The following is a 16,691-nucleotide window of genomic DNA, read 5'->3' on the forward strand; positions in this document are numbered from 1 at the left end:
ATAAATGCAGGTAGCCCTCATTTCACAGAGGAGTGAGAAAAAAGAAAGGACGATGTCTATAGCCTTTCCTCCTGTTGTCTTAAAAAAAATAAAATAGAACAAAACAGCTTTGAGATCTAATTCACATACCGTGCGCTTTACCCATTAAAGTGTACAATTCACAAAGTGGTGTCTCTTCATTTTCTAGTTGTATGCCCAAGTGAATTCTCTATGAATCTGATGAAGCTTAAGCTTCAGATTCTCTCATTTGCAGGAGCCCTTTCTAAGACCCTCAGTGGGCTTTAGCAATGTGCTTTTATGAGTGTCTATTTTTATAAAATTAGGGGAAAATTGTTCTTAAAAAACAATTTTTTAAATTATTATCCTTTTCCACCCTGACTTCCCTTCAGACTCACTTCCCTTTATGCTGATGATATTGGGGTGGACACAGAAATTTTGTATTCATAATTTTATATTTTTTCTTTAAAAAGTACAAATTGCACAAACTTGGGCCCCATAAAACTTGGATCTGCCTCTCCTCGTATATCATAAACTCTAAGCCCTGCTCTCCTGAGAGACTTCTCTTTTGATTTTCAAATGCCTAGTTTGGAAGTAGAAACAACATTCTTTACATAAGCTCTTCCTTTCTTTTGGCAAATTTCTACTCTGGGGAAACAGAATTCTCATTCAGGTATGTAATGGCTTCTGACTGCTTAAGGAAGGGTTAGTAAACAAAATTCTAGAATGTTCTCTTTTGATTTCTCCTTTCCTTTCAGCTCCTGTCATCACCACTCCTCTTGAAACAGTGGATGCCTTAGTTGAAGAAGTGGCTACTTTCATGTGTGCAGTGGAATCCTACCCCCAGCCTGAGATTTCCTGGACTAGAAATAAAATTCTCATTAAGTAAGTATTCCACATTTTAATTTTTTTAAATTTTTGTGGGTATATAGTAGGTGTATATATATGTATATATTTATGAAGTAGATGAGATGTTTTGATACAGGCATGCAATGTAAAATAAGTACCTCATGGAGAATGGGGTATCCATCCCCTCAAGCATTAATCATTTGAATTACAAACAATCCAATTACACACTTTAAGTTATTTTAAAATGTACAACTAAGTTATTGTTGACTATAGTCACTCTGTTGTCTTATCAAATAGTAGGACTTTTTCATTCTTTCTATTTTTTTTGCACCCACTAAACATCCCCTACTCCCCCCGATCCCTGTACTACCCTTTCCAGCCTCTGGTAACCATCCTTTTACGCTCCATGTCCATGAGTTCAATTGTTTTGATGTTTAGATCCCACAAATAAGTGAGAACATGCAATGTTTGTCTTTCTGTGCCTGGCTAATTTCATTTAACATAATGATCTCCAGTTCCATCCATGTCTTTGCAAATGACTGGATCTCATTCTTTTTATGGCTGAATAGTACTCCATTGTGTATATGTACCACATTTTCTTTATCCATTCATCTGTTAATGAACACATAGGTTGCTTTCAAATCTTAGTTACTGAAAACAGTGCTGCAACAAACATAGGAGTATAGATATCTCTTTGATATACTGATTTCCTTTCATTTGCTTATATATGCAGCAGTGGGGTTGCTGGATCATATGGTAGCTCAATTTTTAGTTTTTTGAGGAAACTTCAAACTATTCTCCATAGTGGTTGTACCAATTTACATTCCCACATCAACAGTGTACAAGGATTCCCTTATCTACACATCCTTGCGAGCATTTGTTATTGCCTGTCTTTTGGCTCTAAGCCATTTTCACTGAGGTGAGATGATATCTTATTGTAGTTTTTATTTGCATTTCTCTGATGATCAGTGATGTTGAGCACTTTTTCATATGCCTGTTTGCCATCTGCATGTCTTCTTTCGAGAAATTGTTCAAACTTTTTTGCCTATTTTTGATTGGATTAATATATTTTTTACTATAGAGTTGTTTGAGCTCCATATATATTCTGGTTATTAATCCTTTGTCAGATGGGTAGTTTGCAAATATTTCCTCCCATTCTATTTGTTGTCTCTTCACTTTGTTTATTGTATCCTTTGCTGTGCAGAAGGCCTTTTAACTTGATGTGATCCCATTTGTCCATTTTTGTTTTGGTTGCCTATGCCTGTGGGTATCTCTCAAGAAATTTTTCCCCAGACCAATGTCCTGGAGAGTTTCCCCAATGTTTTCTTGGAGTAGTTTCATAGATTGAAGTCTTAGATTTAAATCTTTAATCCATTTTGATTTGATTTTTGTATATGGAGAGAGATAGGGGTCTAGTTTTATTCTTCTGTACATGGATATCCAGTTTTCCACACATCATTTACTGAAGAGACTGTCTTTTTCCCAGTGTATGTTCTTGGTACCTCTGTCAAAAATGAAATGAGTTCACTGCAGGTGCATGAATTTATTTCTGGGTTCTCTGTTTTTTCCCATTGGTCTATGTGTCTCTTTTGATGAAAGTACTGTGCTGTTTTGGTTACTCTAGCTCTGTAGTATGATTTGAAGTAAGGCAATGTGATTCCTCCAGTTTTTTTCTTTTTTCTTTTGGCTATTCTGGGCCTTTCGTGGTTTCACATAAATTTTAGGATTTTTTTTTTCTATTTCTGTGAAGAATGTCATCGGTATTTTGATAGGAATTGCATGGAATCTATAGACTGCTTTTGGTAGTATGAACATTTTAATAATATTGATTCTTCCAATCCATTAATATGGAATATTTTTCCATTTTTTTGGTGTCCTCATGAATTTCTTTCATTGATGTCTTACAGTTTTCATTATAGAGATCTTTCACTTCTTTGATTAATTCCTAGCTATTTAATTTTATGTGTGGCTATTGTAAATAGGATTATTTTTAAATTTATTTTTCATATTGTTCATTGTTGGTATATACAAATGTTACTGATTTTTGTACATTGATTTTGTATCCTGCAACTTCATTGAATTTATCAGTTCTAATAGTTTTCTGTGGAGTATTTAAGTTTTTCCAAATATAAGAGCATATCATTTGTAAACAAAGATAATTCTTCCCTTCCAATTTGGATGGCCCTTAATATCTTTCTCTTGTCTGATTGCTCTAGGTAGGACTTCCAGGACTGTGTTGAATTAACAGTGGTGACAGTGAGCATCCTTGTTGCATTCCAGACTAGAGGAAAGGCTTTCAGTTTTTCCCCATTCAGTATGATACTACTAGCTGTGGGTCTGTCATATATGGCTTTTATTATTTTGAGGCATTTTCCATCTATTTTTTGAGGGTTTTTATCACAAAGGGATGCTGAATTTTTATCAAATGCTTTTTCAGCATATATTGAAATAATCGTATGTTTCTTACCCTTCATCTGTTGATATGATGTATCACATTGATTGATTTGCATATGTTGAACTATCCTTGTATCCCAGGGATAAGTTTCACTTGGTGATGATATATGATCTTTCTAATGTATTGTTGAATTTGGTTTGCTAGTATTTTGTGCAGTCTGGATAGGCCAATAATCCCAAATCATCAAGTCCTGGTTCCTTTTTTGCTTAGCAGTTTTTCCCACTTATCTTTTCCTCTTGAATTTTACTATAACCAGAAAAAAGAAATGAGGCCGCAGCTTCGACACATTTCTTAGAAATTTCCTCAGCTAAATATCTGAGTTCATCATTCACAAGCTTTGTTTTCCACATAACTGCAGGACACCATTCAGCTAAGTTCTCTGTCCTGCATAACAAGGATCCCCCTTTCTTCTTTTCCCAGTAGCATGCTCCTCATTTCCACTCAAGTCCTCACCAGTAGTGCTTTGAACATACATATTTCTACGAATAGTCTGTTCATGATAATTTAGGTATTCTTTAAGATGATGTAGATTTTCTCTACCATGGAACTCTCTTCCTTCCAATTCCTCAGGAGCAGAATCATTAACACACGTATTTCTATTAACAGTCTCTTTGAGGAAATACAGGCTTTTTCTAGCATGCTTTTCAAATTTTTTTCGGTTCTAACTATTCATCAATTGCAAAGCCACATCCACATGTTTAGGTATTTGTTGCAGCAGCACCACACTTCCAGGTACCAAAACCTGTATTTATTTATTATCCTTGCTGTAACAAATTACCACAAACTTAGTGGCCTAAAACAACATAAACGTACTATGTTACAGTTCTGGAGTTCACACGTATGAAATAAATCTCTCTGGGCTAAAATCAAAGTGTTGGCAGGGCTGAGTTCCTTCTGGAGGCTCTAGGGAAGAATCTGATTTCTTGCCTTTCCTAGCTTCTAGAGGCCACCTGCGTTCCTTGGCCCCCTACTCCACTTATAAGTCTAGCAATGGCACTACTCTGACCTCTGCCTCCATTGTCATACCTCCCTTTATCAATCTGCCTCTCTCTTCCATCTTTTAAGGATACTTATTATCACACAGGGACCATTCGAATAGTCCAGAACACTCCATTTTAAGATTCTTAACATCTGCAAAATAAGGTAACATATTGACAGATTTTGGTGATTAAAACAAGAACCTCTGTGGGAGTGTTATTCTGCTTACCACACGCATTTGGCATAAAAAAACTCTTATTTGGTTAAAAGAAACTCTCTTTTATATTGCTGCTTCTCTTCCTATTTCTTTCTACTGCCCTAATTCCCTTCTCAACAAATGGTTTGCATATAATTAAATAGGTAATATATGTAAAGCATATATTTTTATAGTTGGAAATTGTTTTCCTCCCTTATGTATCCCAAGTAACTAGAAGTGTGCCTGGCACTTGTTAGCAATCAGTAAGTAATTGTTTAATGAAAGAATAAATATTCAACTAATCATTAGTTACTTCTATAAGTAATTAACCCTTTCTGTTCATCGTATTTATACATATGCATGTTCTTTATCTATTAATAGCTGCTACTTCCCAGAACTTATTGGGAGAAGACACCTATGTCTTGGTTTTATATGCTTTTCTGAATAAAGTAAACTTTACATTTTGTCTTATCAGTGGGCATCACCCTTTGAAAGCATTTTTGAAGGACTATGGTACTTTGACTATTGGAGCCTAAGAAAGATGAGAATATAATGTTAGCTTTATATTATCAAGTAAGGTTATTCTATTATTCAGAAGTCACTCAAGTTTCCTCTCACCTTTATTCTACTTCCTCATTAACAAGTCATCGGTTTGATACATTAATCATGGCAAAAAAATCACAGAGGAAGCACTAATCTGTCATTTTTTTCTGTGACCTGCAGACTCTTTGACACCCGGTACAGCATCCGGGAGAATGGGCAGCTCCTCACCATCCTGAGTGTGGAAGACAGTGATGATGGCATTTACTGCTGCACGGCCAACAATGGTGTGGGAGGAGCTGTGGAGAGTTGTGGAGCCCTGCAAGTGAAGATGAGTGAGTGGGAAACAGATTCGTCTATTGATTTGAAAGTTGACTTGGTACACTTAGTTTTGTATTTATTTTTTACATTTTTTTTTTGAGACAGAGTCTCACTCTGTTGCTCAGGCTGGAGTGCAGTGGCATGATCTCGGTTCACTGCAACCTCCACCTCCTGGGTTCAAGTGATTCTCCTGCCTCAGGCTCCTGAGTAGCTGGGACTACAGGTGCGTGCCACCAAGCTCAGCTAATTTTTCTATTTTCAGAATATACAGGGTTTCACTATGTTGGACAGGCTGGTCTCGAACTCCTGACCTCTGGTGATCCGCCCACCTTGGCATCCTGAAGTGCTGGAATTACAGGCGTGAGCCACTGTGCCCCCGCTGACTTGGTACACTTTAAAACAGTCAGTAAATAGAGATTTTCTCAGGCCTGGTGATTCAGCACTGAGACAAGTTCAAGTTCAAGCACAACCCTGAGGCCAATTAATCCCACACCTCTTATGCCTGCTATCAACCACTACCCTAAGGCAAGCCTCTCAATTCTCTATCCTCTCCCATTTTCTTACCTTCACTCATCTCCTGACTTCTTCCACCCTGAATTCTTTCACCAGGAAAACTTCCTCTGAAACATTTACCCTACACCTGTGAAACACAACCAAACACACTTTTTATTTCTAACCTCTTTGCAGACACTTTTGCCTTATTTCAAATTTGATATTCTTCTGAGTGATTTTCTGCTTCAGTGGAAGCTGTTCTATTTTCTCCACTTCATGTCTACAAGACTGCCAAACACTAGTAGGTAATCTCCCAGCCCTCAGTGTTGCTTTTAAACCATTCTATTTTGTATTCCTATACAAAATCTTTCCTCTGATGAGGGCTTATGCCATTCTGACCTATCTTTTCTCTAACTGTATTCATCATGTCATCTGCTCTTCTAGGCACTTCCCCATATTTATTAAAAACTTTGATTCCAGGCTTACTATCTTTCTATCCATCTCTACTCCTGCAATTACCCTAAGAAATTTTAACAGCCATGAAATAGAACCACTAGCCACTTAATTCTCATAATTCCTTGACCTGCAGAAATCCAGTGATGTTTGTCTTTTTTTTTCAATTTTAAGGCTCATACTTTTAATCTCTATGTACACACGTATGTAGTCGTTAAGGTAAGTCTGCCACTGTGAGGAAAGGTAGTTTCATTTTATTTTTTTAACTTTCATTTTGAGTTCAGGGGTACATCTGCAGAATGTGCAGTTGTTTTACATAGGTAAACATGTGCCATGGTGGTATACTGCACAGATCATCCCATCACCTAGGTATTAAGCCTAGCATCCATTCTATTCTTCTTGATGTTCTCCCTCCCCACACCAACACCCCCGACAGGCCCCGTGTGTGCTGTTTCCCCCCATGTGTTCATGTGTTCCCATCGTTAGCTCCCACTTCTAAGTGAGAACATGCAGTGTTTGGTTATCTGTTCCTGCATTAGTTTACTGAGGATAATGGCTTCCAACTCCATCCATGTCCCTGCAAAGGACATGATTTCATTCCATTTTATGGCTCTGTAGTATTCCATGGTGTTTAGGTACCACATTTTCTTTATCCAGTCCATCATTAATGGGCATTTAGGTTGTTTGTGTTAACTGTTTTATTGTTTTTTTGTTATATATATTTATATATAAATATATGTAAACATATATTTAAATATAAATACATACATATATTTAAATATATACAAATATATACTTAAATATATAAAAACATATTTAAATATAAATACGTATAACTATATATTTAAATATATAAATATATAGCTATAGTTATATATAGTTATATATTTACATTTAAATATATAGTTTTATAATTTATTTATATAAACTACATAAATAAACTATATATTTATATAAAATATAAATAAACTATATATTTATATAAATATATCATATATATATTCATATTTTATATAATATATAATATATAAATATATAAATATATAAACTATATATTTATATATTGTATAGTTATATTTATATATAAATATATAGCTATATATTTATATTTAAATATATATTAAATATATATTTAAATATAAATATATAAATATATATAAATACATATTTATATATATGTAAAAAATATAAAAATATGTGAAAAATACATATTTATATATAATATATGTAAAAAATATTAAAATATGTAAAAAATACATATTTATATATATGTAAAAAATATAAAAATATGTAAAAAATACATATTTATATATAAATATATACAACTATATATAAATATATAGTTATATATATTTATATATTATATATATTTATATATTTTTTACTACATAATATATAACATATTATATATTTTAGTATATATATTATATATTAGTATATATTAGTAATATACCATATAATATACATAGTATATTATATATAACTATATATAGTTATATATAAATATATAACTATATATGTTATATATAGTTTATATATAATATTATATATTATATATAAACTATATATATCACATATAGTTTATATATTTTTTAATATATAATATATAACTATATATTTAAATATATAAATATGTAACTATATATTTATATATAACTATATATTTAAATATAAATATATATTTAAATATAAATTATATAAATATACATAAAAATACATATTTAAATATAATATATAAATATATATTTAAATATAAATATATATTTATATATTATATTATAAATATTATAATTATATATTATATATTATAAATATATAATATATATTATATATTAATATAAGTATAAATATATAAATATATATTATGTAAGTATAAATATATAAATATATATTATATAAGTATAAATATAGAAATATATATTATATAAGTATAAATATAGAAATATATATTTAAGTATAAATATATAAATATATAAATATATATTTAAGTATATATAAATATATATAAATATATATTTAAGTATAAATATATATTTAAGTATATATAAATATATATAAATATATATTTAAGTACAAATATATAAATATATATAAATATATATTTAAGTATAAATATAGAAATATATATTTAAATATAAGTATATATATATTTAAATATAAGTATATACATAAATATATATATTTAAATATAAGTATATACATAAATATATATATTTAAATATAAATATATATTTCAATATAAGTATATATAAATATATATTTAAATATAAGTATATATATAAATATATATTTAAATATAAGTATATATATAAATATATATTTAAATATAAGTATATATATAAATATATATTTAAATATAAGTATATATATAAATATATATATTTAAATATAAGTATATATATAAATATATATATTTAAATATAAGTATATATATAAATATATATATTTAAATATAAGTATATATATAAATATATATATTTAAATATAAGTATATATATAAATATATATATTTAAATATAAGTATATATATAAATATATATATTTAAATATAAGTATATATATAAATATATATATTTAAATATAAGTATATATATAAATATATATATTTAAATATAAGTATATATATAAATATATATAAATATAAGTATATATATAAATATATATATTTAAATAAATATATATATATTTTTTGAGACGGAGTCTCGCTCAGGCTGGAGTGCAGTGGCATGATCATGGCTCACTGCAACCTCTGCCTCCTGAGTTCAAGCAATTCTCCTGCCTCAGCCTCCCAAGTAGCTGAGATTACAGGCATGTGCCACCGGACCCTGCTAATTTTTGTATTTTTGGTAGAGTCAGAGTTTCGCCAAGTTGGCCAGGCCAGTCTCAAACTCCTAACCTTGAGTAATCTGCCCACTTTGGCCTCCCAAAGTTCTGGGATTACAGGCATGAGCCTGTTTGTGTTAACTCTTTATCAGCGTAGCCAATCGATGACTCACTCTTGGCCTTGTCACCCACTGGAAGTAGTCTGCATTTAAAATCTTCAGCTTCAGTATGTCACTCTCATCATGGACATTTTTTGGTACAGCCTTGTCAGATGAGCAAAACAGTTTCCCATACTCATGATTTGCCTCCAAGTAGAGTTTGTGGGCACAAACTTCCATTGTCTCCTTCTCAGCTAACAACAGTGTCTCAGTCTCTCTCATTCTCCTACTCTTGCTATACAACCTCAACATCACCAGCATCATCATGTTCTCTTACCTTGATTCGTCTCTGTTCTCCTTTCCATTGATTCCCCAATGGGGCTTTTATTTCCTTCCATACTTAGTTCTTTCTTCTACCTGGTGATGTATCATCAAACACTGCCTTACCAGCATCTTTAAATCTCATGGCCTCCTGTCCTGTAAGCATCTGCTACTTGCAAACTGTCAATCTTACAATGATGTAACCTTCATCTTCTCTTCTCTGACATGCTTATAACCATACATACGGGCACCACACAAATTAGAGGAATTTAGGTCTACTTGGGACATTTATTTTTAGTTTTTGTGTTGTTGTCTTTCCTCATTATTTCTTATCTTTTGTTATTTTGCTGGAGGAAATCATTAGGTACTTTTTTCAGAGTGTGAAGATGTAAAATATTTCCTGAATTTGTGCACGATTGGAAGTCTTCATTTTGCTCGCATTGTTGGATAATAATTTTGCTGCATGCAGAATGAGAGTTTTAAAATCCCTTTTCTTTAGTTTTAGTAGATATCCTCTGTTGCAGATGAGAAGTCTTTTTCTTATTTCTTTACAAGTAAATCTGATGTCTCTCTTAAAAAGTTTAGGATTTTTCTTTTTTTTCTAGAGTTCATAAATTTCACAAATTGACAAGAATATATTAGGTGTATTTTTAAGAATTATTGCTACTCAGTTTTAGGTGGGCCTTGTTTTTTTGTTTGTTTGGTTGGTTGGTTTTTGTTTTGTTTTGGTTTTTTTGAGACAAGATCTCACTCTGTAACTCAGGCTGTAGTGCAGTTGTGTGACCATGGCTCACTGCAGCCTTGACTGCTTGGGCTAAAGCAATCCTCCTGCTTCAGCCTCCCAAGTAGCTAGGACTACAGGCATGAGCCACCATACCAGGCTACTTTTATTTATTTATTTACTTTTTTTTGGTAGAGATAAGTTCTCAGTGTGTTGCACATACTGAGTCTTGAAGTCCTGTGCTCAAGTGATCCTCCCACCTTGGCCTTCCAAAGTATCGAGATTATAGGAGTGAGCCACTGCACCCAGCCTAGGTGGGCCTTTTTGATCTAAAGACCAAAGCTTTTTAGAAAGGTACATTTTCTCTATTTTTTTTCTTTTTTCTTTCTCTATGACTTCAAATTTTTCTTCTCATATTTTCTGCATGTCTTAATATTCTACTCTCTTGAAGATTCCTTTTACTTTTTCTTCATATTATGAATGTGGTCTCCAGTATGACTATTCTGTCATTCTGAGTGTTTTGGTCTTAAAAACTATATTTTTAATTTCTAAGAATTTCCTTGATGTCTCTGTTGTCATAACAAACTCACTTGTATGATACAATATTCACTTAAGCTTCTAAGGATATCACTAGTGCATCTTTTAAAAAGACATTTTCTTTTTTCCCCTGCATTACTTTTATTTCCTTCAGAAAAAAAAAAATTGATTTTGTTTGGGTTCCATCCTTTTATGTTTACAATTTTTCTCAAATTGATCTTTTATTTTTTGATCATAATAAATATACATGGAGTGTTCAGTTAATTAGGATAAAAAGCTGGTGGGAATAGCATGACTTTATGGAATACTGATTTGGTACTTACTGTGAGTAAGTAGGTGGGGATCTGCCTATATGCAGGCTTCCCTTCAGTATGCAGAGAAGTAAGAAATCAAATAAGGAAGTTGGAATGCTCTCATTTGCTAAATAATGAAGACTTCATTCTGAGGATGAAACACATTCAAGTATTTCCTTACTTTGTGACACTACCTTTCTTTTGAATATTTTTGCATATTCTCTCTGGCCCAATTGTTCTTGATTTGGGTTCTATACTAAATCCCCTTTTCTTTTCTTGCCTTCTTTTTTCCAACCTCTCCTTTGGAGATCTCATCCATTCATGTGGATATACACCGGTGTGGCCATTCCAATTGCTAAAATTTTGGAATGCTTCCATACTTCTTGGAAAGATCCGTTTTATAAGGCTCCCGAGATCCCCCAACCCCTATCACTACTCCAGCTCTCTTAAGCCCTCCCCCAAGAGCTCCCTCCCCTAAATTCCTAATGGTCCATCAGCTAAAGTCTCAATGCTGGCACAGCGGGATACTTCCAGCATCCTGCTTTAAGGTGACCAGTTCTGATTGGTCAGTACTTATGACTCCACCCTGAATCATGTTCCCTTACAGTGGGGATCCATGGCTATGCGTCAATACCCTAGTCATTCCTAGTTGACTTTACATTCAATTTCCCAAAAGGGAATTCCTCACCCCTCACCTAACAGATGACCAAGACATCAAGTCACTGAGAAGATAGGAGATTTTTGCTTTAAGCAAAGGTCTTTACCTAAGACATTATCTGTGCCTCAGCTTTACCATAGAGATCTTGTTCAGGGAACCTATGGAAGGCATAGATAACACTTTATTTGACTGTCATAGGAATATCAAGTGCTCAGCTAAGTTTTTCCCAGCAACTGTATGACAATACAACTCACAATTGAGGAACCTGGCCAGTACTGTATTTACATGTAGGTATTTACAGTTTATTAGAAGGAGAGTTGTATGCTATAGATAGCAGGCAAAGTAATAAAGTTGTTATTTTCCTATATTTTAAAGCCTTTCTTGTATTTTTGCTATAACACAGGGCCGCAGGAACTCTAAATGACAGTGAATGCTTAGATTAAAAACCAACAGGTCTCACGCCTGTAATCCCGGCACTTTGGGAGGCCGAGGCGGGCAGAACACGAGGTCAGGAGATCAAGATCATCCTGACAACAGGGTGAAACCCCGTCTCCACTAAAAATACAAAAAAAAAAAAAAAAAAAAATTAGCCGGGTGTGGTGGTGGGCGCCTGTAGTCCCAGCTACTCGGGAAGCTGAGGCAGGACAATGGCATGAACCCGGGAGGCGGAACTTGCAGTGGGCCGAGATCGCGCCACTGCACTCCAGCCTGGGCGACAGAGCGAGACTCCGTCTCAAAAAAAAAAAAAAAAAAAAACAAAAAAACAAAACCCAACAGGTCATGAAGGCTTTGCAAGTATCTCTTACCACCAACAACACCAAAGCCCCCATTCCTCTCCCTCACATTGAAGTAGAAGAAAACAAAGTCCATATTTCATGCGTTCCTTTGTCAAAATAACAAATTGGTTACGGCACATGTCCTGCAAGAAATAAAATGTGTCCATTGCTCAGTAGTCTCTCTTGCGAAGTCCCCCTCTGTATCTGTAACGTAAAATTCCTAAGGACATAAATGTAGTTTTAACTATTTTACGAATAGTACTAAAATAACTGGCATCCTGAACTTATCAATTCTTTTGTATATTAGATTTAATAACTTTCTTTGAAAGTTTCATATTTGAGAATAAAAATTAACTGGCATAAACTATTTCTTCTGAAAGATTAAAAGTGTTTGAACAGTAAATTACATGTTTGAGTCCCCCCAAATTGTATGACAGAATTTCTTCTGATTGTTAATATAATAATATCTGGTTTACTTTCTAGAGAATGAATGTATTTAATTAATAATCATAAAATTTAATAGTCAAATTAAGATGGAAGCTAAAGGGAAAATAGGTCATAATTTCTAACTAGGTAAGAATATAGTTATATCAAAATTTTCTTTTCAAATGTTTTATGTCTATCAGTATGAATTAAATAATGTTGAATTGCTATGGTGACAGTCTATGTTAATCAGCTTTTATTAACTATCTTTTAAAATGAAGAATGCTATGGTAACTTCACACTGTTAATATTTTTCATAAATTTGTGTTTTGCTAGTAAGATTCTAATAAAGCAGAGACAACCAAGTGTTTCTAAACTGATTTCTGTTTGAGATCTACTGAGGAAAACTGTCTTTGCATTTGGTGAATTTTGTAATGTAACATGCCTCAAATGATTCTCAAAACAGATGTTTAGAATTAAATTGAAAGTTAGAAACTCTAGGTTTAATAAAGCCATATTGCCTTATTTATTTTGAATTTTCATTTCTTTTTAGAACCTAAAATAACTCGTCCTCCCATAAATGTGAAAATAATAGAGGGATTAAAAGCAGTCCTACCATGTACTACAATGGGTAATCCCAAACCATCAGTGTCTTGGATAAAGGGAGACAGCCCTCTCAGGGTAAGTGGTTATGATGTTAAAACACATATATAAAATGTATTTTAAAATATAACATTTCTTTACACACTCAGTTACACACTTACAAACTTCTAGTATAAAGTAGTTTCCATGTACATTTTAACCAAATGTAAATATTTCTGTTTGCATATATGCAAACTGCATGGCATTTCATTTGGGTCTGGCTAGGGAAAAAAGAGATGGGAACCAATAATGTTAAAGATAGAAAAGGAGGCAATGAAAAAGCAAACCTGGAATCCTTTGTATTTGTTGGCTGGCTAAATCATTTATTTTTTTTTAATGTTGAATCTGAGACTTAGGGGATGAAAAAGAAAAACTAAAACCCAGGCTTTAGAACTGACAGTTTCTGGAAGGAGGGAGGGAGACAAGGTTCGGAAGAAAAGAAATGAGATCTCTGGAGAGAAGTTAGGCGAAAAGACTCAAGACTCATACACAAATACCTTGGCAAATCCCTCCTGAGTCATGAAGAGTAGTCACGCCTGTAATTCCAGCACTTCAGGATGCCAAGGCCTGAGGTCAGAAGTTCAAGACCAGCCTGGCCAACATGGCGAAATCCTGTCTCTACTAAAAATACAAAAATTAGCTGGGTGTGGTGGTGTGTGCCTATAATCCCAGCTACTCAGGAGGCTGAGGCAGGAGAATAACTTGAACCCGAGAGGCAGAGGTTGCAAGTGAGCCAAGATCTCACCACTGCACTCCAGCCTGGGCAACAGAATGAGACTCCATCTCAAAAAAAAAAAAAGTTATTATCCATATGCTTATTTTGTACTGCCTCTGTATCTTATCCCCACATTTATTGATAAATTATTATGAGGCATCATTATTGTCTTTCCATCTTTATATCACCTAAAAGATTACAGACTATGTTTTTCATTTAACAATGCATAGTATATTTTAAGAGGAATACAAAGGTGTCACTTTATGTCAATTAACTGAACTAAGGTATAAAATTGCTCAGCTTTGCTTTATTTAAAATAAAATAAATATTGCTAATTTTTAATGATTAATTATCTGGCTTTCCTCTTGTTATAAATCTTGGTGCATTTCCTACAATGACAAACAAGGGTGGTTGTACTTATGTTACTGAATTTAGGGTTCAAAACAGAAAAGACAGATGTAATATTTAAACTCCAAAGAGTAATTTTAATATTATGTGTGAAATTTTCTAGTATTTCAAAGGACATGTACTCTTCTAAAGATACCATCTAGGGTGCAAGGTAAACCTGATAGTTAAAAGCAATGTGTTTATTTATTCATATTTCAATAGCTTTTGGGGTACTAGTGGTTTTTGGTTGCAAGGATGAACTGTATAGTGGCCAAGTCTGAGATTTTAGCGTGCCTATTACCTGAGTGCTGTACATTATACCCAGTATATAGTTTTGTATGTCTCACCACCCCACTCTGCAACATTTCCCCCTTCTAAAAGCAATGCTTTTAATCAGATTTAGCTGTGACTTTGGGGAAGCAAAATAAGCCCATATACATATATATATTATACATATACATATTATATATATAATATATATATACACACACTCATGGGATGAAAGAAAATAAAAATAAACTATACCTCATAGGACCCTGGTGAAGATTAATTTAGGTACTCTTGCACTATTTCATTTAATATTGTATGTTTTACATAATAAGTGGCCAATAAAGGTCAAAGCGATATCTTTGATGATGATAATAGTGATGACAATAAGTTGATGATATTTGGCAAATGTATCCTTGATAGACCCATAAACATTTTTGAATTCACGTCCCTATCTCTGGCAGGAAAATTCCCGAATTGCAGTTCTTGAATCTGGGAGCTTGAGGATTCATAACGTACAAAAGGAAGATGCAGGACAGTATCGATGTGTGGCAAAAAACAGCCTCGGGACAGCATATTCCAAAGTGGTGAAGCTGGAAGTTGAGGGTAAGGAGCTGCATTTCTTCCCCTGACTGTGTGACCAGGGGCCTCACTGTCTACTGTGAAGGCTGCACCTGGGCTTGGGAGAGAAGAGATGTGGGCAGCCCACTTCCCTCAGTTGTTCCAGATATTAGGCCATAAGTTCAAGCGTATGATAACAGAAAAGGAAAACTGAAAAAAGAAAGAAATTTTCACTAGTATAAAAGGTCATATTCCATTGATTACTCACAATCACTGGTAATTTTTACCAAAACAGACTAAATTTACTGTAACAGTAAAATAATAGAAACCCATTTTAGAATGCCTTCCTGGTTTGGACAATTCTTCCCTCATTTAAAGACTTGGGCATAATAATTTTAATCTTTTTAATCATACAGAACAACTTTAAAAAGATGTGATAAGGAGGAAAAAGTAGCTATTTTCAGATAGTGTTCTATCACAAAGCTTGAAAAAAAAAACATTAACTCAAATCGTAAAGCCAAAAATAATCCCAGTTCTGTGAGTTATGTTATCAAAATCGTTTTTCTTTTCTTTCTGAAAATATTTTTTAATCAGCTAATTCAATAACTTGGTGTGAAAGGTCTTCACTGAGAAATCAGAATCCAAATAGGTCTAGGTGTTCTATTTGCTTGTTAGTCGGGTCCTTCTTGACCTAAAATTGCACCACATTTTGCTTAAAAAGAACTATCAGCACACCTCTATTAGGCGAATAAACTGAGTACAAACCCTTCCTAGCTCTTCCTGTTGTATGCCAGAGAATTAACATTTTTGGCTCCTAGCTTTCTCACCTGTTAAGTGGGGTTTGCTCTATTTAATGAAGTTAGGTGTTGATAGTGTTTAGCAGAGCATCTGGTCCTTTGTGCACCCTCAATAAATGTTGGCTATAAGAATTATCATCTATTTTTCTGCTTTTCTCTTATCTGATTGATAAGTGTTAGAGTATCACATACTGGCACAAATTACAGTTCAATCAGGAAAAGACTTGAAGAGTTCTCCATATTTTACTTTGATTCTGTCCTACTTTCCTTAGGCCAAAATCTATCTTTTTCTGCATATTTCCTTCTCATTCATATAGTTTTCTATTAACTCCTTTAAGATTATTTTTATTTCCTTGATGGACATTCCTGTCACAGCTTTAATGATCTCGTT

General features: G+C 33.1%; 1 protein-coding gene across 7 annotated transcripts in view, besides 1 other annotated feature; it reads left to right on the forward strand.

The window, feature by feature from the left end:
• Positions 1-16,691, forward strand: part of MUSK (muscle associated receptor tyrosine kinase) — a 137,768-nt gene that overhangs the window by 13,128 nt on the left and 107,949 nt on the right. For all 7 annotated transcript variants that reach the window (XM_005251994.4, XM_005251995.4, XM_017014734.2 and 4 more), the window contains exons 2-5: positions 756-882; positions 5,199-5,350; positions 13,485-13,612; positions 15,407-15,548. In XM_005251994.4, coding sequence (XP_005252051.1) covers positions 756-882; positions 5,199-5,350; positions 13,485-13,612; positions 15,407-15,548 — 549 coding nt within the window. The remainder of the gene's footprint in view (positions 1-755; positions 883-5,198; positions 5,351-13,484; positions 13,613-15,406; positions 15,549-16,691) is intronic.
• Positions 11,312-11,813: an enhancer, noted in NCBI's record as "NANOG hESC enhancer chr9:113455510-113456011 (GRCh37/hg19 assembly coordinates)". NCBI's record gives its function as "activates a minimal SCP1, AML or CMV promoter by ChIP-STARR-seq in primed H9 embryonic stem cells {active_cell/tissue: H9 hESC(primed)}" and the evidence as "EXISTENCE:reporter gene assay evidence [ECO:0000049][PMID:30033119]".

Source organism: Homo sapiens, chromosome 9, assembly GCF_000001405.40.
Source record: "Homo sapiens chromosome 9, GRCh38.p14 Primary Assembly".
In the NCBI taxonomy this organism is placed as follows: Eukaryota; Metazoa; Chordata; class Mammalia; order Primates; family Hominidae; genus Homo; species Homo sapiens.